The 24,091-nt window shown below is 40.7% G+C and overlaps 1 protein-coding gene and 1 long non-coding RNA gene across 12 annotated transcripts in view, besides 5 other annotated features; both read right to left on the bottom strand.

Moving 5' to 3' along the window:
- FNDC3B (fibronectin type III domain containing 3B) overlaps positions 1–24,091 on the bottom strand; it is a 362,092-nt gene that overhangs the window by 219,207 nt on the left and 118,794 nt on the right. The window lies entirely within an intron of this gene.
- Positions 50–344: an enhancer, noted in NCBI's record as "tiled region #6188; K562 Activating DNase unmatched - State 14:Gen5'". NCBI's record gives its function as "activates a minimal TATA promoter and a strong SV40 promoter by Sharpr-MPRA in K562 cells {active_cell/tissue: K562}" and the evidence as "EXISTENCE:reporter gene assay evidence [ECO:0000049][PMID:27701403]".
- Positions 1,446–23,751, bottom strand: LOC124906304 (uncharacterized). Its single transcript, XR_007096169.1, has 2 exons — positions 23,671–23,751; positions 1,446–21,203 (listed from the first exon to the last, which is right to left on the bottom strand). It is a non-coding gene; the product is annotated as an uncharacterized LOC124906304 (long non-coding RNA).
- Positions 2,310–2,604: an enhancer, noted in NCBI's record as "tiled region #4529; HepG2 Activating DNase unmatched - State 5:Enh, and K562 Activating DNase matched - State 5:Enh". NCBI's record gives its function as "activates a minimal TATA promoter and a strong SV40 promoter by Sharpr-MPRA in HepG2 cells, with weaker activation in K562 cells {active_cell/tissue: HepG2 | K562}" and the evidence as "EXISTENCE:reporter gene assay evidence [ECO:0000049][PMID:27701403]".
- Positions 2,310–2,692: a biological region, named in NCBI's record as "Sharpr-MPRA regulatory region 4529".
- Positions 2,533–2,692: an enhancer, noted in NCBI's record as "active region_20823". NCBI's record gives its function as "activates an Ori minimal core promoter by ATAC-STARR-seq in GM12878 lymphoblastoid cells {active_cell/tissue: GM12878}" and the evidence as "EXISTENCE:reporter gene assay evidence [ECO:0000049][PMID:35858748]".
- Positions 14,963–15,502: a silencer, noted in NCBI's record as "fragment chr3:171884751-171885290 (GRCh37/hg19 assembly coordinates)". NCBI's record gives its function as "represses an EF-1alpha promoter that drives an FKBP-Casp9 reporter gene in an ReSE screen in HepG2 liver carcinoma cells {active_cell/tissue: HepG2}" and the evidence as "EXISTENCE:reporter gene assay evidence [ECO:0000049][PMID:32094911]".

Here is a 24,091-nt window from a genome sequence, read left to right as displayed (position 1 = left end):
CTGATCATCAGTTCTTACACATCAGGAAGACCCCAGGAAACTCCCAGCTCCAGGAAGTTCTGTTGGTGTCTAGCATACCACATTCACAAGGCTGGCCACTTACGACTCAACCTTCAGCCCTGGCTCTCCAGCTGCTAATGTGAGAAGACCCCGGACAGCCACCAGCCTGACTCATGCTTCCTCCTGACCTCCGTGTTCTCTATCCTTCCTGTGACCACGCCAGCTCCTAGAATTGTTCTCCTCCACTGAGCCCAGCCTTCACTTGCTGCTTCTCATCCTGCTGACAAAGGATTTCTCCCAACTTACCTTGCTGATTCTGGTAGGACAATAGGAAGTCACCCCCACAAGTGCAAAAACAACTCAATGCTGATGTCCTGGGCATAGCAGTCACTGCTGTTGACAAGGTAACACATACTAAAAGCCTATTACTCAGTGCAGCATCCCAAGATGCTTGGTAATGCAACAGGCCTGCTTTGCATCATTCTCAGGCCAAAGTAAGGAAAAAGCAATAACGTACATCCTTCATTTGTCAAGCAGTCTGGGAAACACTGAGACTACATAATGAAATCCACTCAGTGAGTGAGCAGCAGTCTGTGCTCCCACTGAAAATCTTTTTTTTTTTTTTTTTTTTTTTTGAGATGGAGTCTTGCTCTGTCACCAGGCTGGAGTGCAGTGGCGTGATCTCGGCTCACTGCAACCTCTGCTTCCTGGGTTCAAGCAATTCTCCAGCCTCAGCCTCCCAAGTAGCTGGCACTACAGGTGTGTGCCACCACACCTAGCTAATTTTTGTATTTTTAGTAGAGATGGGGTTTCACCATGTTGGTCAGGCAGGTCTCAATCTTGTGACCTCGTGATATGCCCACCTAGGCTTCCCAAAGTGCCGGGATTACAGGCATGAGCCACCACGCCTGGCTTCCCACTGAAAATCTTAATTACTTCCCTCCTCCTTAGTTTAAGGGAAATCAGGAGAGAAAGGCTGTCTTTGAAGAAGACGGGCCAACATTCTACTTGACCACAAGACAGTAAATTCTAAAGGTGTTTTTTTTTGTTTTTTTTTTTTTTTTTTTGGAGACAGAGTCTCACTCTGGCACCCAGCTCTGGAGTACAGTGGTGTAATCATAGCTCACTGCACCCTTGACTTCCCAGGTTCCAGTGATCCTCCCACCTCAGCCTCCTGAGTAGCTGGGACCACACGCCACCACACCCAGCCAATTTTTGTATTTTTGGTAGAGACAGGGTTTCATCGTGGTATCCAGGCTGGTCTCGAACTGCTGGGCTCAAGAGATCCATCCACCTGCCTCGGCCTCCCAAAGTACAGGGATTACAGGCATGAGCCACCACACCAGGCTGTCATCTTAGAATATATCTACTTAGAATGCCTATATCATTTCCAATATTATTTCCAGGGCTTATTCTAATAGAGGTTCAAAATCAGTTAGAGATTATTAAGAAAGCCAGCTTCTCTCAAGTCTAAGAAGTAAATATCACCTTTATATATAATGTCTCCCCCCATTATATTTTTTTGCCCCAACCTAAACAATAGCCTCCAAATGATACCAATTTTTCCCGCTTCTGAGGAGACTGAAACAGGATCTACAAGATCACACCCACCTCTAAGATACTAAGAATCTGAAAGTAATGCCAGCTTTAGAACTGGTTCCACAAATCCAGGCATATTTTATAACCATTCTATGGGCTCTTTCCTATATGGGCATCTTTCTTCTCAAAACTGTTCCAATGACTGTCTGCCCATTTCTGTACTGGCACAACTAGAGTTCCACACTCCGGATCAAACCCGCTAGCTAACTTTGACCTCTCCCACATCCCTCATATCTAATCAGTTGCCAAAATCTGTCTGCTCTGCCTCCTTAGATACATTCTCTTCTCTCCATTCCCACAACTAACACAGGACTTTGTATAAAAGAAGGATGCAAGTATTTGTTTCATGAGTGAATAAACTAGATGATCACAATTTATCCTGAGAAGTTTCATTTATAAACACACACACAGCATGACCCCTGCCTTGAGGGAACCATGGGTTCTATCTAAAGACCACAGTGCATACTTAGAGGAGAATCATTCATGTTCTCAAACAGTAGTGAGCCTGGGGATCACTTAGGGGCTTATTAAAATGCAGAGCCCAGAGCCTTACTTCCAGAGACTCCCCCTCAACAGGTCTGCAAGGGGCCCAGGATTCTGCATTTTTACTAAGCACTCAGGAGATCCACAGTCCACATCTGACAGATTCCAGCTGGAAGGACAGCAGAAGCATGGCTCGACCCAAGGGAAAACACTGTGCACACCCACTTCTCTGGTGTATTTCAGAAAATACACTTGCTTTGCCAGTGACCCCACTAAGTCCAAGGTACATGTGCAATCAAAATACGCAAACATGAAGAGAAGAAGAGAAATGTTTGTATGAGTCATTAGGTCAGAGTGAGGCTTGGTCAGGGTCACAGAAAATTATGATTGACAACTGTGAAATGTAAAAACCCCAAAGAGGTCATTCAGCCACACCCCTCATCAGAGAGATGAAGAAACGAAACTAAGGCCCAGTAAAATTACCTGTTTACACTCTTTTTTTTTTTTTTTTTTTTTTTTTTTGGAGACAGGGCCTCACTCTGTTGCCTGGGCTGGAGTGCAGTGATGTCATCTGGGCTCAAATGATCCTCCTACCTCAGCATCCCAAGTAGCTCAGTCTACAGGCAGTCGCCACCATGCCCAGCTAACTTTTTGTATTTTTTGTAGAGACGGAGTCTTGCCATGTTGCCCAGGCTAACATCAAACTCCTGGGCTCAAGTGGTCCTCCCACCTTAACTTATCGAAGTATTGGAATTACAGCCGGGAGCCACCATGCTCAGCTTCAACTTTTACAGTTGGGGTGGAGGTCGGAGGTGGTGGGGGAGGGGATACAGTGGGGGAGGGAGGAAGTTTGTGTGTGTTGTAGACAGTGAAGTTGTGGCTCAAAGCCCAGGTGTCCCAGCTCATACCATATATCCTGAACATACAAAATTAATGTTTTGCTTTTAATATGAATGTTTTATTCACCTTAATTTCTACATTCTACATTTACCTTGAGCATAATAGTTATAAACAGGCCCGGCCAGGCACGGCAGCTCAAACCTGTAATCTCAGCACTTTGGGAGGCCAAGGCGGGCAGATCACCTGAGGTCAGGAGTTCGAGACCAGCCTGGCCAACATGGTGAAAACCCGTCTCTACTAAAAATACAAACATTAGCCAGGCATGGTGGCGCGTGCCTGTAATCCCAGCTATTCGGGAGGCTGAGGCAGGAGAATCGCTTGAACCTGGGAGGCGGACTTTGCAGTGGGCTAAGATTGCACCACCGCACTCCAGCCTGGGCAATAAAGCAAGACTCTGTCCCTAAATAAATGAACAAATAAATAAATAAATAAGATAAAGGGGCCCTATGGCCTACTAACCTCTATGGAATAGCAAAAGAGAGTAAACCTTTTCAAAACCATAATTTAAAGACAAACCAATTTTCTAGTCAATATGGTATTCATATTTAATCACAAGGCAGAAATATGAAAATCAAAAATACTAGAGCTTACCCCCTGGGTATGTGGAGGCGCTGAAGGGGGTAGTGTGGAAGAAAAAGACCCTGAAGCTCTCAGAATGTGGCACAGGCTTTTTACCCATAAACTATATTATCCTTCTTTCAATTTTCCCTATCTATGAAATTCTATTATAACTTGCACTTTTATCACCTTTACCATCACTCCCTCCACATATATTTGGTCTCAAGACATAATAAAATCTCAAGAATGTGGGGTCCCAGGGATGCCCCGGCTGAGTGTCCACATGTGTCCAGCTCTTTCGCTTTTCCCTCCTCCCATCTTTTCCTGCTACCCCCATAGCTACAGCCCTAAACCAATGCCAAGCTTTAAAGTCCCTTCACTTACCAGTCTGAGTGTCTTACAATATGGAAAGAAAAAGCATAAGTATTGATTTGAAAAGTCTTGTGAAAAGTTTACAGGCAATGTTAAGTAAAACATGTGATCTTCTCTTCTCACTCTTGCTTGACAAAGTCAATATATGAGCTCTCGGTGACAGCAACCAGCTTGCTACAAATGTCTCCTAGGCCTTAAATTTACATAGTAGTGTATCATGCCTAATGGGTTTGCTGGGGTTTGGGCTAATGTCCACAGGTCAGCATCCTTTAGCCCACAGCTGGAGTGACACTTTAGCCTCTGCCTGCCTCTCCTCCCTTAACCTCTATTCCCTGATGACTGTGGCCATCAGCACTAGGCAATTCAGAGTGCATGGAGGCTGAGAGCTTGGGCTTCAGACCCAGACAGGCCAGTGTTCAATTTCTGCTCCTTCCACAACCAGTTGTATGGTCCTAAGAAAGTTCCTTTCTAAATGTGGTACACAGACACCATGGAATACTATGCAGCCACAAAAAGAAATGAGATCACGTCCTCTGCAGGGACATGGATGAAGCTGGAAGCATCATCCTCAGCAAACTAACAGAGGAACAGACAACCGAACACTGCATGTTCTCACTCATAAGTGGGAGTTGAACAATGAGAACACAAGGACACAGGGAGGGGAACAACACACACTGGGGCCTGTCAGGGACAGGGGTGAGGGGAGGGAGAGCATCAGGACAAATAACTAATGCATGCAGGGCTTAATACCTAGGCGATGGGTTAAGGTGCAGCAAACCACCATAGTACACATTTACCTATGTAATAAACCTGCACGTTCTGCACATGTATCCTGGAACTTAAAGTAAAATTTTATAAAAGAAAAGAAAAAGTTCCTTTCTAAGCTTCAATTTGCCCCTGTGCAAAAAAAAAAAAAAAAAAAAAGATGGTGGTAAAAATGATTCCTTCCTCAGAGCTATTTGGTAAATTTTATCATATAAGGAAATTAAATATAATACAGTATAAGCTTTCAAGACATGAATCTTTCCATCTCTATCTCCAAGACAGATGTTTGAGAATCCCTTCACTTAGTTACAATGTGGCCCACTCTGATTGAGCTACCACATTCATACTCACCTTCTATCAAAAAGCAAAGTTTTACAACTACAAACTCAGACTCCAAAAAAGTTGCAACTTCTATCTAAGCAGCTCTAACGTAATGGGTAAAAGAAGTGCCCAAGGAGTCTGTTAAAATGTAGATTCTGACATCTTTGTCTTCAGAGATCTTGATTCAGTAGACCTGGCATTAGGCCCAGGAATCCGAATACTTAACAGTAACAAAGATTCTTTTTGGTCAGCCAAACTTCAGTTAGGGTTCTGTATCTTCCGCTAGGCCCATATGTGTATTTCCTTGTAGAATCTGGTTTTAGCAAAGAATCCTGTTAAGTCAGTTTCAGAACCCTCCATCCTCAATTTCTGATCATCTCCAATATCTGATCAAGTTCCTCATCCTCCACCATCTCCCCAGGTAATGTCTCAACACCCTGGCCTGTCTTCACCAAGAATCTTATTAGGGCAATTGAGTCAGAAGCCCCCTTACCCCTTAGGTTTTGTCTTAGTAATTTTCCATCCACTGATCCCCACACTGCTCCTTGGCTATAAATTCCCACTTGCCCATGATGATGTATTCAGAATTGAGCCTATTCTCTCTCCCCCACTGCAAGACCCTATTGCAGTGGTCCCTATAGCTATTACAAGGGCCCTGAGTAAAGTCTTCCTCACTGTGCTTCATTCAACAAATATCACAGAATAATTTTTTCTTTAACAAGCACTCCAGACTATTCAAAAAAGTAATAACAGACATCATTTAAACACTAAGCTACAGTTTCAGATGAATTCAGGGTTCCTACAGCACTTTCCAACTGCAAAGCACTCTCACATTATCTCATTCGACCATTGTCATCCCAGGAAGAACTCTAAAGGGATGTTCCCTAATCCTCTGTAATTGCCCACCCCTTCCTCTTCCTGTACATGAAATCTGCAGTTGTAGCAGGAACTAAATTTCCTAACTCAATTCAGAGATTATTTTTATTTGGCTATGGCAAGGAAACTAACAAAAATACTTTATGAATCCAAAGAATGATCTGAGATAGTCCATGGAAGGTTAACTATCAAAACTTTAAATGGAAATCTCACTAGAAACTACCAGGCTCACTCAGAATTCTTGTGTCCTCTTGCAGTTTTTCAGACTTGTTATTACTATACTCGTCTCTCTTAGCTCCACTTCTTTAAAATTTGCTGGTTGTAATCTCATTTGGGCTTAGAAACCAAAAGCTTTAGTGGAACTACTAAAAGATTAAGCAACACCAGGCTCTGGCAAGGGAATGAAGGGCTCTTCTATTAATTCAATCAATGCATGCGTACTTCAGAGTTGGTTTATAGGAAATCCAACTAATCAAAGGCCTTTTCAACCCATTACCTGGCTTGGAACTGGTTTGGGAATGGAACACAGGATTTTATTGCTCTAACCAATATTTTAGCCAAGTGGGGCTTGCACACCTATGCTGAGCTTTCACCTGATGGGGTAAATTTATATTCTGTGTAGACATATAATAGAAAAGGAACAAAAATAGGCTTATAAAACATTCTATAGATAAAACTGTTTGTTACAGGTAAGTTTTCATTTCCATCCACATAGTGCAAACAAAAAATATTAGGGCAGATTTTTCACATCTGTACTACTGTGATCCCCTCCCCAGGAAAAACAATGTCTTCTGGGGAGACCCTTCACACTTCTCCAACGCGGTACAAGGTTCTCACTTACTATGGTAATCATGTGTTTACATATCGGCTTTAGATTTAGGGTTTTCTGTGTGGTTGTCTGTGTAAATTCTGCTTCTAGATTTTACTTAAACCCCTTTAAGGGCAGAATCTACATCAAATTCATTTTCGTATCTCTAAGAATATTCAAAACATAAAAAGAACTCAAGAAATTAAATATTTGCTAAATGAAGAACTATTTGAGGTTCTTCAGCTACACATACTCTAAATGGCCCCTTTCTAAGAATTTGCCTTTCAGCAATGGGGAGGAGAATAGTAGGTCCCAGTTGAGAACAAAAAAGAAAACAAGAGGTGAAAAGAATATGTAAGCATTTTGCTGTAATACCTCCCCCACCACCCGCCCATCCGCCTACCTACCACGTATAGGACTATAAAATCCTGAGGAAAAAAAGCACTTAAAAGAACAGGCTGGAAATGTTTCAGGAAACCCCTTTCTCTACTTACTCTCCACTTGTTCATTCAACAAAGGCCCAAAGGTGACAGGAAGAGAAGCAAGGAGCAGCAGACATTAGCTCTCTGTAGCTTTTCCCTGGCCATCAACTAGCTTCTCTATTACCACTCTGAGATGACTGAGAGAGACAACGGCAAGGAGACAAGAACCCTGGACTGTCAGACAAATCCAGGGAATGCAGCAGAGAAAGCAAAAGCAGCGAGAAAGCAAAAGCAGCAGGGGCCTGGTCAGGGAGCAAAGATGGAAATGAGGAGAGCAACTGGGAACCCCTGTGAGAAAGCATGGCCAGAGAGGAAACTAGGACATGGGACCGGATGGACAGCAAATTGTATTGGGGGGGGGGGGGTGGCGGGGGGAAGGTCTCCAAAGTCCACAGAGAATCAGCAATTTGGCTAAAGCATGTATGAATAATTGGGAATTAACTGTATACACAAAAGATTTCACCTCATTTACCACAGCAGCTAGATAAACATCATACTAAATTAAATAAGAGGCTATTCACCCACAACCAAACCGAGACCATTTGTCTTCATTCTCTACTAAGATTTTTAAAGAAATTTCACCATGCCTTTGCTGTCGCCCTCCCAATCTGTATAAGGCCCCTGTTTGTTTGTCTTGATGAGGTCGATTCCACTTCTCAAGACTGAAGTCTGAATAGCACTACATTAATCCAGATGCTCTTTCTAAAAGTCTTTCAAATTCAAAGATTCCAAACATTAACATAAAGATACTCAGGGACCAGCTGTTGCAATTAACAAATTGTTTATATGTTCCTTTCTGTTGGCTTAAAAAGTACTAGAAGGAATTTTAAGCAAGATGAGACTGTCATTCAGATTTGGGAGTTTTAAATAGATGGTTTTCATGTTGTTCAGGCTAAAAATAATAGTGTGTATGTCAGACTTCTTGTAAACAGGCTTCAATTCACAAGACTCAGTCTAACTAAGTGGCAGTCTCACCATGCTGTAGAAAACAAAGCATGCAGAAACCAAATTATTTCTGGAATAAGCTCAGTATTTGGAAACTTAATCATTTAGACCTGTCTCTCTAGAGAACAAGAGTAGTCTTCCCCAAATATGCTTGAATGCCTTGGATCCTAACAGGTTCAATAATGAATTCGCTCTTTGGTAAAAGAGAATGAGAGTCATTCTGCATGCAGAGGTGTGAAAGTGGCACAGTCTTCACAGCCCCCACCACATTCCTCCCACCTAAGGAGGTGCCACAGAGTACAGACACATTTCCCGCAATGGGCATCTTTTTCTGCACCCATGAATGGATTCTCAGTTCGCTGACGAACTCGAGAGTTTTCCCCGTAAATAACACATTCTTAAAACATGCTACATCAACACTGAATGAGTTTCACTGGCAGCTCCTACTATTCCATTTCAGTACTCCTGCAACAGCAAAAGCCTTCTATTCCTAGGACATCGGGAGGCTTCCCACCCCGCGCCCCACCCCTCCCCCAGACAGGGTCTTGCTCTGTTGCCCAAGCAGGAACACAGTGCCACAATCACAACTCAAACAGCCTTGACATCCCAGGCTCAAGAGATCCTCCCACCTCAGCCTCCTGAGTAGCTGGGACTACAGGTATGCACCACTATGCCTGGCTAATTTTTTTTATTTTTAATTTTTTTAATTTTTTTTTTTTTTTGTAGAGACAAAGTCTCATTATGTTGCCCAGGCTGGTCTCAAACTCCTAAGTGCAAGTGATCCTCCCGCCTCGGCCTCCCAAAGTGCTGGTATTACAGGTGTGAGCCACCACACCATGCCTACAGAAGGCTTTAAACATTTCCAACGTGAGTCATACAGTAACTCAAAAATTACACGTTGTCTTCTCTTACAAGCAGTGACTTCAAAGAACACATCAAATTCTTCCATATGGTTGTTTACTTCTTGTAACTTCATAGAGAAGTCTCTATTAAGGTGTTTGGTAACCCTTGGTTTTTATTTTTAAATGGTTAAAGTTTAGGACCCCCACGATAAAAGAATCTGTGATACAAAGCTTGGGAACACCTCTAGAGAGATGTCCAAAAGAAGGAACAGATAACCTTATGACAAGCAGAAAAGGGAGTTCTATAAACTCCCTGTCTTTTAACCCCTGAGCAAATGTCTCAGCATATTCTGCCATCGTTTCGCTTTATCTCTAACTCTATACTCTAATTCCAGTTTTTTTTTCCTCTGACTTCTGAAAAGGGGAAAGGGAAATTCCCTTGAGAAAAACAGTTTTCTATAAATGACTTCATTGAAATTTTCTCACAACACACTAAAGAACCATTTCAGTGCCAACATTATACAGGCACTAAATTAATATAAGTGCCCAATTAATATAAGATTAAATACAGCTATAGTAAAACTGAAATCCTCAGAGTAGAATACACCCTAAGTAACTCACTCCTAAACTTTCCTTATTCTTTCATTGAGGAAATGTCGAAGAATATGAAAGAAGCAAAATAGGTCCCTTATATTTAAATGGTGACCATTTGCAAAACCATGACTTAATAGAACAAGTGGAAAATAGATGACCTGAGCGATATAAATGCATATAAAAATAGGCACTGAAACATCAATCAGTATGTCTAAACCTATATATTTATGTTAAGCTATTTCACATGTAAGGTTTTTAAAGAATCTGGGAGTTCCCCAGGCAAGCAAGTTCTTGGAACCCAGTATTTTTGCTGGATTCCCATAGAAAGATATCTCTTCAATACCAGTTCTACTTCATTTCTTCCCTGGGACCAGTCAGATATGCTCCTTCCCCCAGGAAACATATTCCCCCAGGAACAATGACAACAAAAAAGGATCTTTGAATTATCCCTCAGATTTGTAATTTTGGACACTCTTTACTTTGTCACACTAAAAATAACCCAGAAATTGAAATCTAGGTAATTGTAGCTATTCCTACTTTTAATCTTAGATATTCTTTACTTCGCTGTTCCTTACTTGATCCCTTTTTTCTTCTTTTTAAATCTAGAAATTAAGATCTAGGTAAGTTTTAGTCATGGGTTAGGTACAGGTACACTTGACGAAAAATTTCCCACAAGCAACAAACAAGAAATAGACAATGCCTATTTTGAGAGATGCTTTAGAAAACACATATCAAATTCTAAACCCCTTACGCCATCATCTGCTTACTGACAGCAGTAAGAGCTGCTAAATGATTTCGGTGTTTGGGTGTCTGAATGCTGATAGCAGAGCATATGTTTGCAGGTACACAATATTTTCTTTTTATGAGAGGCGAAGGAGGAGGAATGGAATGATGGCTAGGCACAACTGCTCTCTTAAAATAATAAACCTTAAAATGTCTCTAGTCAACCACAGCATACCTATTTTGCTACAAACATATCTACTTTCACCATACTTCCACCTCTCATGCTGGCTTCCATTTACCTCCCAGGACAGTGGTGCTAAAGTACAGGGCAGACATGGGGTAAAACCCTGTACACATCTGCTGTTTATAGGGGAAAACCCCACTATTGGATTTTTTTTTTTTTCATTTCAAAGTCCTTTTATTAGTAATGTATACAGCTGTTTTCTCTTGGCTAATAATCAGAACAGCAACATTCATGCATGCTGACTCCAGGCATAAATAATATGCCATGCTGTTTTTGCTCAGCTGTAAAGAACTGGAATTCTGAGAGTCAGGGGAGATGCCTCTGCACTTTCCAAAAAAAAAAAAAAAAAAGTTAATACAGCTGTTTTCCTCTCAGGAATGCCAAAAGAATGCAATTCCTCCCTCTAAACCTCCCCCAACCCCATCTCCACCAATACTGTGTTCCCTGTTCATGCCAGTGTGCAAAGAGAGTTTTAAAAAGATACCCCATTCTTTAATAAAAAGAATAGAGAAAAAAATACTGGGCATCGAAGTTTCCAGTAGTAATATGTGCCACATCTACAACAAGGAAAAAATGAAAATGAAGTGGTATTTTTTGCTAAATAAGAAGTGTGCACACTAGACTGTAAATGACATAAAACACCAGTTAATTTCAGAGAAGATAAATACATGCTTTTGAACCAGGTGTTTTTAAAGTCTCCATCAGCACTTTCCAAGCCTATCTTAATATAATTACATGAAATGTTTATGTACTTGTCTGGCATGTTGCTTTGTTTTCTAAATAAAGGAGCAACTTCAGTTTGAAATAATGGACACAGGAACCTCCACTTTCCATTTCTGTAGGCTTCTCCTCTCAGCTCAGCTTACCACTTTTGTAGAGCCACATAGACCCTGCACAGAAGGCCTTTGTATATAGGTCTCAGCCACATATCTTCATGCAGCCCCTGGCAAAGTCCTCCAAGGAGTCCCTTTATTTTCTGACTGAACACAAAGGTTTTATCTTACAGTAAACAGAGAAGACATTTAACATTAGAGCAATACTAAGACAGTAATACCATAAAGGTGGCTCAAAGGTTTGCATAATGAATATCTATTGTCTTGGTTTCAACTCAAAACTAGCTATTTAAAAAAAGAGCTCAATAATGGGAAGGTACTGTTTCATTACCTGAAAGTTACATTTACAAAACATGTTTCATCTGAGCCCTTCTGCTGACTTATCTAGGCAGCTTGGAGAAGACAACCACGCAAAAGGAGTCGAAACAATATACAACCCTATTTCTTTGTAAGATTCCCCACAGTCTCAATCCACTTGTAGCTTGCCTCTTTCATAGTCTCTGCCAAGCCCACCTGGCTACTGGAACAGCTAGGAGGGGTACCAATCAGGTATCTCTTTTTCTTCTCTCCCAATCAGCTCCAGGGATCCTATTGGAATGGAGACTGGGGACAACTACAGGGATGTACGAAATAATTCATTTACAATCAATACATTGCTTGCAAATTCAGTTGCTTACAAATTCATTCTTGCTCATCTTCCTGGTCCCCAACCACTGTCACAGCAAGGTGAAGTCCTGGTATCTGCTTTGGCCCAAGAAGAGCCTCCTGGCAACCATGGCTTGTTGACTTGGGCAAAGCGGAACACGGGGGAAGGAGAGAAACAAACATATGACCTGTCCACAATCCCAAATATTCTATATTCAACTGAGAGTAACAGAGGAGATACTGCCAGTTCCTTGGAAGGAAAATGTTGCAGGAATCTTTACAGAATTAGGAAATAATTTTCCCCTCTGGGCTTACATTTATATTTTCAATAAAAGCTAGAGGGGAGGAAGAAAACAACTTTGCTTATATTTTTAATATACCTTTTAAATAACATAGATAACGAAATTTAAACAAACAAAAAAAATAGATTGGAATGTTAGGAGCTCCACTAGAAGCCAGTTCTGTGTAAAACAGCAGAGGACGGGACAGAAACCGCAGCTGCAGTGGCTTAAATTGATATGTTGGAGTCAAGAGTGGCTTTTAGGTTCCCTTAGTTTAAAAAATCCTATTTTAAGTTTAATCAAGCAATGAATTTCCTTCTTTGTGGCAAGCATAAAATGTAAAGACACATGAGAATTTTATAAAGTGCCGTTTAAATGGGAATAGGAACAGTCAGCTTTTGGAATGGGGAACAAAGTAACTCATCCAGTGGAAGTGAAATGAGCAGAGCAACTGCTAGGCACCTGTGCAGCTTTTCTCACTCACTCGTAGGTAACATGCTTCCCAATGAGACCAGCTCAATGCAGCCCACTCTTTGAAAAGTGTGGGTATCATAAAGTCATTCCCTGTAAGAAGGTTTCTCTGCCGGCGTGGCCCCATCCATGGAGTGGTTTTTAATTACTTGATACTGGCTAAGTAGCCAGGAAGTCTGACTCATCTCCACTGCTCTTCAAGGTTGCTCTCCAACAAAGTTACCTAATTCCTGCAATAAACAAAACTAGCCAGCTTAAAAAACATCACTCTAGGAAGCATTTAACCCCTGCATTTATCTTAGTATCTTGTTACTGACTACACTGTCCGATGCCTCCACTACCAAACATACCAGTTAGCTCCTACAGGCAGGCCTCACTCAGCAAAGATCATTCTGCAGAAGGCTGCAGCACATTCCGGAGCGCCGCTCAGGCAACCCCTTCACTTGCTCCTTTGGTGGGCTCGAGTATGCCCCTGGTGGCACTGAGGTCGACATGGCATTCCACATCCTCCAAGGGTTCAAAGCACCTTTTGGACAGACATGACCGAGTGCTGACGTGGGCTTGCTGGTGAAGAACCTCAAACATCAGTGATGCACTCTGGGGTGTGGCTGAAAATACGAATGTCTGACACAGACAAAACTTTTATGTCAAGGTAGGAGAGGGAAAAACACTTGAGCAATCTAGCTTAGCTCTTACAACAGTGAGCCAAGCTGGGCACAGTGGCTCGCGCCTGTAATCCCAGCACTTTGGGAGGCCGAGGCAGGCAGATCATCTGAGGTCAGGAGTTCAAGATCAGCCTGGCCAACATGGTGAAACCCCGTCTCTAGCAAAAATAACAAAAATTAGCCGGGAGTGGTGGCGCCGCCTGTAGTCCCAGCTACTCGGGAGGCTGAGACAGGAGAATCACTTGAACCCGGGAAGCGGAGGTTGCAGTGAGCCGAGATCGCGCCACTGCACTCCAGCCTGAGTGGCAGAGACTCCATCTCAAAAAAAAAAAAAAAGTAAAAGAAAAAGATACACAGCAGCACAGTATTTCCATCACACAGACATGATAGAAACTTTAAAAGCATAGATATATAGCAACACTTGAAATAACAGGAAGTGATGAGTATATATTATCAGTTATTAAATATAATTTAACTTGTAAGCTTGTATATTTTAACATTTAACAATGACTATGTTTAACAACCGCTCATAGAATGTCTGAAAATTTAACTGTCAGTTCTCGCATGTGATAGAAGCTATCACCAGCATACCACTGACATGTCAGCTCAGTACTACTCCATCCTACTAGGGCAAAGGTGCCATAGAATGGTAGAGAAATATGAACTCCTTCTCTGGTTCCCACAACTTCAAAATAGCAGGAATCAGAATAAAAGAAAAGAGGGCTAATCTGGTAGAGTCTTTTTATAAGATGAGTAGGAGAGCAGGAAAGGCAGACTGCTGTATGTGACCACCAGGCTTACAGGAGCAAATCATGCTGGGATATGGCAATATGTATAACAGCTGGTATCAGTTTTACTTTTTTCTAGTTGCTTTCACTGACTAAATATAACAATTTGAAAAGTGAGGGTAAAAAGTGCATACATAAGATTTATTATATGCTCATACTATGAGCTGCCAAAGAATACAGTCATCAGCATCAGCATGTTCTGTATAGAGAAAAGACCTACATCATAGCATTACAACAGCTGCCAGGTAAACACCACTGGAATATGTCCACTTTTTCAGAGAGGTGTAACTCGAAATGATCTCACAACAGTGGTCCCCAACCTTTTTGGCACCAAGGACAGGTTTTGTGGAAGACAATTTGTCCCATGGATGTGATGCGGTGGCAGGGCTTTGGGATGAAATTGTTCCACCTCAGATTATCAGGCATTAGATTCTTATAAGGAGTACGCAACCTAGATCCTTCACATGCGCAGTTCACAATAGGGTTCGTGCTCCTATGAGAGTCTAATGCCACTGCTGATCTGACAGGAGGCAGAGCTCAGGTGGTAATGCTCGTTTGCCTGCCACTCACCTCCTGCTGTGTGGCCTGGTTCCTAACATGCCACAGACAGGTACCATCCATGGCCCAGGGCTTGGGGACCCCGGTCTTAGAAAACTTAAAAGTACTGCAGTGAAAAGAGCTCATAGGCTGTGGAAAGCATAAAAACTACATGCAAATCTCAGTAGATTCCATTAACTAGCGATGTTATCTTAGGCAAAAGTAAAACCAACCAGTATATCCACGTGCCAGGGCACCATGGTTTATACTGAAGACACAAGGGTGAACCAGGCAGAACCAGTGAAACTGCAACCCTCTTGGAGTCTATATTCTTTTTGAGACAGTCTCATTTTATTGCCCAGGCTGGAGCGCAGTGGTGCCGTCTTGGCTCACTGCAACCTCTGCCTCCTGGGTTCAAGCGATTCTCGTGCCTCAGCCTCCCGAGTAGCTAGGACTACAGGTGTGCACCAACATACCCAGCTAACTTTTTTATTTTTAATAAAGATGGGGTTTCGCCATGTTGGCCAGACTGGTCTTAAACTCCTGACCTCAGGTGATCCGCCCGCCTCAGCCTCCCAAAGTGCTTGGATTATAGGCGTGAGCCAATGTACCCGGCCCTTAAGTGTATATTCTAGAGTACAAACAACGCAATATTTAAGAGCTCTGGTTTCCTTATCTATAAAATAGGCTAGTCACTATTCCAACCTTGCAGTGCTACTGGGATAATTAAATGAGACAATGTAAACGGCATAAAGAACATTTTTCACTTTTCCTTCACTATCTAAATGTGCTTCTTTCGTAGAAAAGCAAATGACAACAATATTTTCTTTTTTAAAATTATCTTCTCTGGCAAAGATATGAAGAGGAACAGAGATAAATGGACCCCCCTCCCCCCACCCACCCGCCAAATTCTGAACTCTTTGAATAGGTTATTAGGAGACTACCAAGAGTTGTTTGTTTTTCCAGAGGCAAGGTCTCCCTATGTTGCCCAGGCTGTAATGCAGTGGCTATTCACAGACACAATCATAGGGCACTGCAGCCTCAAACTCCTGGGTTCAAGCAATCCTCCCACCTTAGCCTCCTGAGTAGCTGGGACTACAGGCACAGGCCACTGTACCTGGCTAAGAGTTCTTACAGGTCTCGATTCTTTAGCTATTACCTTAGATGGTCGTAATTATTCTTTAGAGAAAAATGAACACAGGATTCTCGTGGATCTAGATTCCAGCAAGGCTGGAACAAGCAGACTGTCACGAGAGCACACACATTTCTCAAGTGAATCACTTTAGATGCTAATGGTAAGGAGCATTTCAATGGTGGGAGGTCAAACCGCTCTACACACCTTATATGGTCTCACACAATCCTGTGAAGGCGAATAATCACTCATTCATTTCATTAAGTAATTCCACAAAAAATTTAGAGGGCCTCCTCTGTGGCAGATACTGATTGAGGAACTAGAAGCATATAGCAGTGATCAAAATAGTCCAATATATACTGGGAAAAGTCAAAGGTTCACAAGCCCAGCTATAAGATGGTGGCCTTCCCAATTCCGATGAAATGAGTGGCTTCGAAATGATGACTTTTTTCACCAATGTAAAGCAAATTTGCAAAGACTACTCTTCTTCTCTATAGGAAAGGTCTAAAGGATTCTATGTTTCCTAAATTGTCAATATATTTATTAATATAAATCAGAGCACTTTAGGCCCTTCATGCATAAAAGATTAGCTCTCATTCACCTAGGAAACAAATATTCTCAAAAGAATAAAAGCAACCATTTGTTAAAAGAACAAAATGAAACACTCCCTTCTGATAACTAAGGTATTTTTTAGTACATATGTATGTTAAAATATTCCTGAATTTCTGAATCTAATGTAATTATTATGAATATTATAGGAAAATTCAAGAGAGTGAACATTCGTGTCATGTAAGTAAATAATGCCTGGCAGTTTCTCATTTTGGTAACTACTTGTAAACATTATTCTCTAATGTGGACATCTTCTGAGATGGTTTATATAATGGGATCTTACTTGTGGGAAACAGAAGAAAAATTTATTGACCTTAGAACTGAGATTTCATGTAGTTAAAAATGAAAACTCACTTCTACTCTGTATAGTACAGTATGAAAGTTCAATCTACAGTATGAAAATTCAATCTAGAGTGAGATTATAAGATATTGCAATTATTAAATATATTCATGGAACAATAAACTATATTTTGGTATAAAACATATTCAATCACACAACCAAAACAAAAAAATGGAAAGCTATTCAGCAGTCCCATTTAGATTCCCAGTGTCAGTAAAGAATCTGCTGAATTCACTTTTCCTTGAAACTACTCCCTCTCCATCAACAAAAAAATTAATTGACATACAGAATTGACTTTTGGGTAGGCTTTTCTTACAGCAGGTAGAACATAAATATTCCTGGCTAGATGTGGTGGCTCACACCTGTAATCCTAGCACTTTGGGAGGCTGAGGTGGGAGGATTGCTTGAGGTCAGAAGTTTGAGACCAGCCTGGGCAACATGGTGAAATCCCATCTCTAAAAAAGATACAAAACTCAGCCATGGTGGCGCATGCCTGTAGTCCCAGCTACTCCGGAGCCTGAGGCAGGAGGATTACTTGAGCCCAGGAGGTTGAAACTGCAGTGAGCCATGATCGTGCCACTGCACTCCAGCCTGGGCCACAGAGTAAAACCTCTATGTCCAAACAAACAAATAAAACCATAACTATTCCTAAGATATCTTGAAAAATATATAATACTTAAGAGTAAGGTGAGCACGTGTTGCTAACTGAAAGCCATAATAGAACACTTGCAATGAGACAGAAAATATTTCCCCCTATAACAAACTTAAATTCATCTACATTCAGGAACTGGAAATAAACACAGTAATTTGTTACCTTTTCTTTCTAACACAGTACACGAATCACCTGACAGGATGATATATTACTTGTAGTTATTTCTTTTAAGTTAAAAAACAAACAACCAAACAAAACAGCAAAAGCTCCAGTGAGAATGCACTACATATTATGAAACTTTGCTCTCATAGAAGTCATATGCTGAGTATTCGGTCAATTCTTAATCTCATACAAATAAAATTCTGCTTTCACCCCATTTCTTCGCACTTAAATAATCTTATTTGTTCTCATTAAATTAAGCAAGATTTGTTTTACATTACTATTAAGTTTTTTTAAGTTTTAGAATATTGAGTTTTCCTCAGTAAACTTCTTCCTCTGGCAAAAAATGCCACATCTTTCAGCACTTTGGCCCACATGTACACTCTGACACACTCATGCACACACACATATAGGTATTACTTCCTAATATTGAGAATACTTTGAACTAGATGTTGTAAATTCCTCTTAGGGATAAATACTTAATTCACCATAAATAAATGACAATTTATATATTGGGCTTAGAATCAATATGAGCAAACTACAGACTTATTGCTTGTAGCATATCAAGTTGGTAAACTAAATAAGCAATTCCATAAATTTTAAATTTTATTATACAAAAATGTGTAAGGCCAGATAAAACCATAGGATCAAAAATAATCTGACAGTACTCATCATCTAAGTGATCAAGTTCTCAGTCAGAATAACCTAAAGAATGCTACTAGCTCAATGAATTTTCACTAGCCCAAATATGATTTTCAGGTAGCCCAATGTCCACTTTTCTTTGAGAAAATAAAAAAATCTATAACTGCAAATGCACTGGGTGAAAAGGTAAAAGTAATAATAAAACTCAAGCGAGATTAAATTTAAACCACAATGAGATACTGCTACAGAAGCAACCAACAGACTGTCAAAACTGCTAAAAGTCTGAATGTACCAAAGGCTGGTAATGCTGTGGGAGAAAAGATTACAACATTTTTAAAAAGACTCTGGCATTATCTAGGAAAGCAGTAATTCTACTCCTTGGTAACTATTTTGAAGAAACTCTTACAGACCTGAAATATCCACAAGAATATTCATAGCAGCCCTGCTCATAATACCCAAATATCAGAACCAACCTAAAGGTTCATCAGGAGAACACAGAAGCTAGAAAACTACACAGTAGCAAAAAAGAAAAAAAATGAACGAACAGCTACCCACAATATCTTTGAAATGTTAAGCAAAAGAAGTCACTGAAGAATACATATAGTATGTTTCCATTTATGTGAAGTTCAAAAACAGGCAACTTCAAGCTCATGTTTTGGGGTAGCGGTGTTGGATGCATGTGTGCGTGCATGTGTGTGTGTTTGTACATACAGTAAAACTATAAAGAAAAACAAAATGATACAAAGAAAAGGAAAATCATCAAAAAGTGATTTAATTTGTTAATGATTATTAATGTTTACAATGCTAACATATTTTCAGTCATGTTCATTATTAACTGTTACTTAGAACTGTAAATTTCTACTCTATGATGTGGGTGGGTTATATGGGTGTTTGCTTTATAATTCTATTTTTTTTTTTCCTTATATGAGATATAGTCTTGCTCTGTTGCCCAGGCTGGAGTGCAGTGGCACGACCATAACTCACTGCAGCCTCAAACTCCTGGGCTCAAGTAATCTTCTCATCTCAGCCTCCCAAGTAGCTAGGACTACAGGTGTGCACCATCATGCCCAGTTAATTTTTTTAAAAAAATTTTTGTATAGACAGAGTCGTTGCCCAGGCTGGTCTCAAACTCCTGGCTTCAAGCAATCTTCCTGCCTCAGCCTCCCAAAGCGATGGAATTACAGGCATGAACCACCATGCCCAGCTATTAATTATTCCTTATACATATATTTTATGCATTCTTATGTATGTGTGACACATCTCAAGATTTAAAAGATTAGATTTGAGCTTCTAAAACAATTATTTCTGTGGTATCATGGTGGTTTGGTTAGTGCTATGATCAGAAGTCAAGGTAAGAGACAAATAGACAAGCTGGTCCTAGCACAGAATTTCATTACAGCTCAGAGCCATATCATAGCTAACCATACCCTACTTCCTTAAGTATGTGAATGCCGATCCCTGGCAGGAAAAACATCAACAATGCAAAGGAATTAAAAAACACATAAAATTGTATTACAGACCAAAAAAAAAAAAAAAACCAGGTAATAACAAGTGTTGACAAGAATGTGAAGAAATCGGGAACCCTCATACACTGCTGGTGGGAAGATAAAGTGGTACAGCTGCTTTGGAAACAGTCTGGCCATTCCTCAAATGGTTAAATACAGTTACCATAAGGCCCAGCAATTCCACTCCTAGGTATATACCCAAGAGTAATAAAAATATATATTCACCCAAAAACTTGCACATAAATGCTCATAGCCACGGTATTAATAGCCAAAAAGGGGAAACAACCCAAATGTTTATCAGTTGATGAATGGATTAATACAGTGTGATACATCCATATGCTGGAATATTATCTGGCAATAAAAAAATGAAGAACTGACACATGCTACAAGTACCCTTAAAAATTATGCTAAGAGGCCGGGCGCGGTGGCTCATGCCTATAATCCCAACACTTTGGGAAGCCGAAGTGGGTGGATCACCTGAGGTCAGGAATTTGAGAACAGCCTGGCCAACAGGGTGAAGCCCCGTCTCTACTAAAAATACAGAAACTGGCTGGGCATGGTGGCGCATTGCCTGTGGTCCCAGCTACTCAGGAGGCTGAGAAAGGAGAAATCGCTTGAATCTGGGAGGCGGAGGTTGCAGTGAGCCGAGATCACACCACTGCCCTCCAGCCTGGGTAACAGAGAGAGACTCTGTCCCCCCCCAAAAAAAAAAAAATTATCCTAAGAGGACAATCACAAAATACCACATACTATATGATTCCACTGAAATGTCCAGACAGAATAAGCAACTCTCTAAAGATAGAAGGTACATTACTGGTGGCCTAGTGCTGGGGATGTAGGGGAATCAGGGGTAACTGCTAATGGGAATGGAGTTTTGTAGGTGATGAAAATGCTCCAAAACTGACTGTAGTGATGGATACACAATATATGAAACCACTGAACTGTATGCTTAAATAGGTGAATTGTATGGTATGTGAATTATATCTCAACAAAATTGTTATGAAAAATTGCATTACAGGTGATCACTACCACAGTCAAGGCACAACAGTGTCAGACATTGTCAGGCTTCGGTAAATACACGCATGTGTCCAGTGAACTTCTACATTCAGCAGCTGAGAGAGATCTGACTGGCTAGTCATAAACCTAAAAGCTGTATCAAATGGCTTTGTTTCCAATTCTTGGTCTGGTAATCAATAGGTTTTGATTCTATTCATCAGAGGCTGGGCCAGAATCCATGTTAGCCTTTAGAATGCTCTAAATCATATATGCATGCAAAGCAGTTTCTTCTACAAGTGACCCACAGCACTCTTTTCTGAAGTGATTTTCCAGGACTCTCCATGAGAGGAAAATCTGAAACTCACTAAATTCATTAACCAGAAGGCTTCATTGTGCTTTCTTGACTTCATATGTAGAGATTTTTTTCCAAACCACACTGGAAAATAACAGGATTGGAAAAGCGATCAGTCGGTTCACATTCCATCCCACCAATATTCAACAGCCTGCTCAAATTCAGATGTGAAATTAAAACACTTCCAATGGGGTTCAATCCTGCTTCTAATGACAGTTCTATATAACAGTTAATAATGAACACAACTAAGAAATTACAGAAATAACATACCAAGAATAGTCACTGACAAAAATAAGATTAAAAAACAAACTTTCTAAAAGTAAAATTCAAAATTACTCCTGGTTCCCTCCTTTTTTGGTAATCTTATGCTGTTTCTCTTTTATTTCTTTTGAATTTATTGTATCTTGATATATACTATGCACATTGGAAAGTTCACAAAAATTCTTTCAACGGCAAATTCGGGACAAAAAAATAAAATAAAATCCAAAGGCAAAAATAGGAATTCCTTCCATTACTCTGGATTTATGACAGTTGTGGCCAATATAAATGTTTAGTAATAATTTGCTATTATGCAGCATCTTTATTTTTAAAACCTGATAAAAATAACCAAAGGCCAATATTATAACAATAAAAGTTTAATTCTATTCTTTATAGATGAGTATACTTTAAAATACGTATAGATTATTCTATTAATCTTGCTCCACTATTGGATCATGGCCCCCTAGCCCAAACTGACATTTCTGATTTACAGTTGGCTGTAAATTTCTCTGTTCCAGGGCAACTCTAAAAGGAGCTGGCCAATATTAGTGAAATTCGGAAAGCAGTATTCATGCCCTTGATTGTTAGCAGCTCTTCTGTAAGATTTCACATGACTTCTTAGGGTTGGGGTGTAAACCCTAGAAGATGTTAACATAACCACAGCAGGGACCAGTCCTAGTAGCAGGCTGGTGATGAAAATGAGGAACAAAGCCACAGAGAGGGAGCCAAGGGAAATGCAAAGTCAGTCCCTGGGAGGCACAAGAGGCAGCTCCGCCCCTGTAAGTGGGAAGCCAAAATCCACAACAGGCAAGGCCCAGTGAGCACAGCCTATTTCAGTCTAATTCCAGGCAAAGGTCTATGAACAGAGGTTCCTATTCCAGGGAGCTGGAAGGAGGCATAGTTTTGTATAGTGTGTAGTACTGTGTAATAGTAATGCCCACTGCTGCCCTTGGCTTCAGGACCATGCCAGATGAAAAAGAGTGAAAACAGGTTTACAGGCAGGCGAGAAGGCTGACAGAGTATCCACTGGTGAGGCTGATTCTGGTCAGCCCCTGCCGGCCTCCCCCACCTTCCCAGTGACCCAGGACAATCTGCAGATGTGCCAGCCCATTTATAAAAGGGTCCTGATTTTCCTACCTGTAAAATGTGATGGTTAAATGAATTGACCTCTACCACCTCTCTAAGTCTAAAATGGTGTACTATCTATGTTATCTTAAGATAAAGGAACATATATAAGGCTTCAGTACAGCAGATGAGATTTCTTAAAATACACAAACGAGTGGCTAACTTTTTAAAATGAATCCAGAACCTAACTTTTTTCTCAAAACCTTTTGCTCATATGGCTTTTTTGATCATCAATAGCTATTACTGACAAACCCAAACAAACCCAAAGATCTAGACTTCATTATCAATCCAGGCTTCAGAGACAGCTGTACAGAACTTTAGACTTACAAACCAAATTACTTAACTCATATTCACTTTTCTGAATATTTACTTTGTGGTTTTCCTACTGATTTTCTCAGAATAAGTTGGAGATGACCCAAAGCTCCTAAATAACTCTTGGTTATAGGCACTAGTTTACGGAGAGCTGGCATCTCTCTCTTGGGTCCTTATTTACCTAAATATCTCAGATAAAATTCACTTTAGAGTGAATAGGATGCAATGTTAAGACTTACTATGTAGCTACAGTAATCAAGACAATGTGGTGTGGGAGGAGGGATACAGTGATCACACAGTTCAACCAAGCCAGGAACAGAGGACCTGGAAACAGACACACACCAATATACCCAAATAATTTTCTTTTTTGAGACAGGGTTTCGATCTTGTTGCCCAGGCTGGAGTGCAATGGTGCGATCCTGGCTCACTGCAACCTCCGCCTCCCAGGTTCAAGGGATTCTCCTGCCTCAGCCTCCTGAGTAGCTGGGATTACAGGCATGTGCCACCACGCCCAGCTAATTTTTATATTTTTAGTAGAGAGGGGGTTTCACCATGTTGTTCAAGCTGGTCTCGAACTCCTGACCTTGTGATCTGCCCACCTTGGTCTCCCAAATGCTGGGATTACAGGCGTGAGCCACCATGCCCGGCCCCAGATGATTTTTAACAGAGGTGAAAAGTGATGCAAGGGAGGAAAACAGTATTTTCTAAAATATTGCTAGAGCAACTGGACATTGATAGAGGAGGTGGGAAAGGAAGATAAGGGAGGAGGGAGAGGAAGAGGGGAGGGAAGGAGGAGGAGAAAGAGAAGAAGAGCCTTTCAACCTAAACCTCACACATTATACAAAAATTTACTCACAATTAATCATAGACTTCCATGTAAAACTATAAAACTTGTAGGGAAAACAAAAAGGAAAAAAATCTTTGGAGTCTGGGAGTAGACAAAGGTCTTTAGACTTCACACCAAAACCATAAGAGGAAAAATTGTCAAATTGGATGTCATCAAAATGAAAAACTTTTTCCCTGCAGAAGAACCTGTTAAAGGAGGGAAAGACAAGAAAGTATTTGCAAATTACATATCCAAAAAAGGCCTTGTGTCTAGAATATATAATGAACTCTCAAAACTCAGCAGTTAAAAAAAAAATTCAAACAATCCTATTAGAAAATGGGTGAAAAACAAGGACATTTCATCAAAGAGGAGATACGGAAGGCAAATAAGCACATTGAAAGATGCTCAAGATTACTAGCCATTGAAGAAATGTAAATCAAGGCCACAGTGA

This window comes from Homo sapiens, chromosome 3 (genome assembly GCF_000001405.40).
Source record: "Homo sapiens chromosome 3, GRCh38.p14 Primary Assembly".
Taxonomy (NCBI): domain Eukaryota; kingdom Metazoa; phylum Chordata; class Mammalia; order Primates; family Hominidae; genus Homo; species Homo sapiens.
The sequence above is the reverse complement of the archived record's forward strand: the minus strand, read 5'-3'. Positions and strand labels throughout refer to the sequence as shown.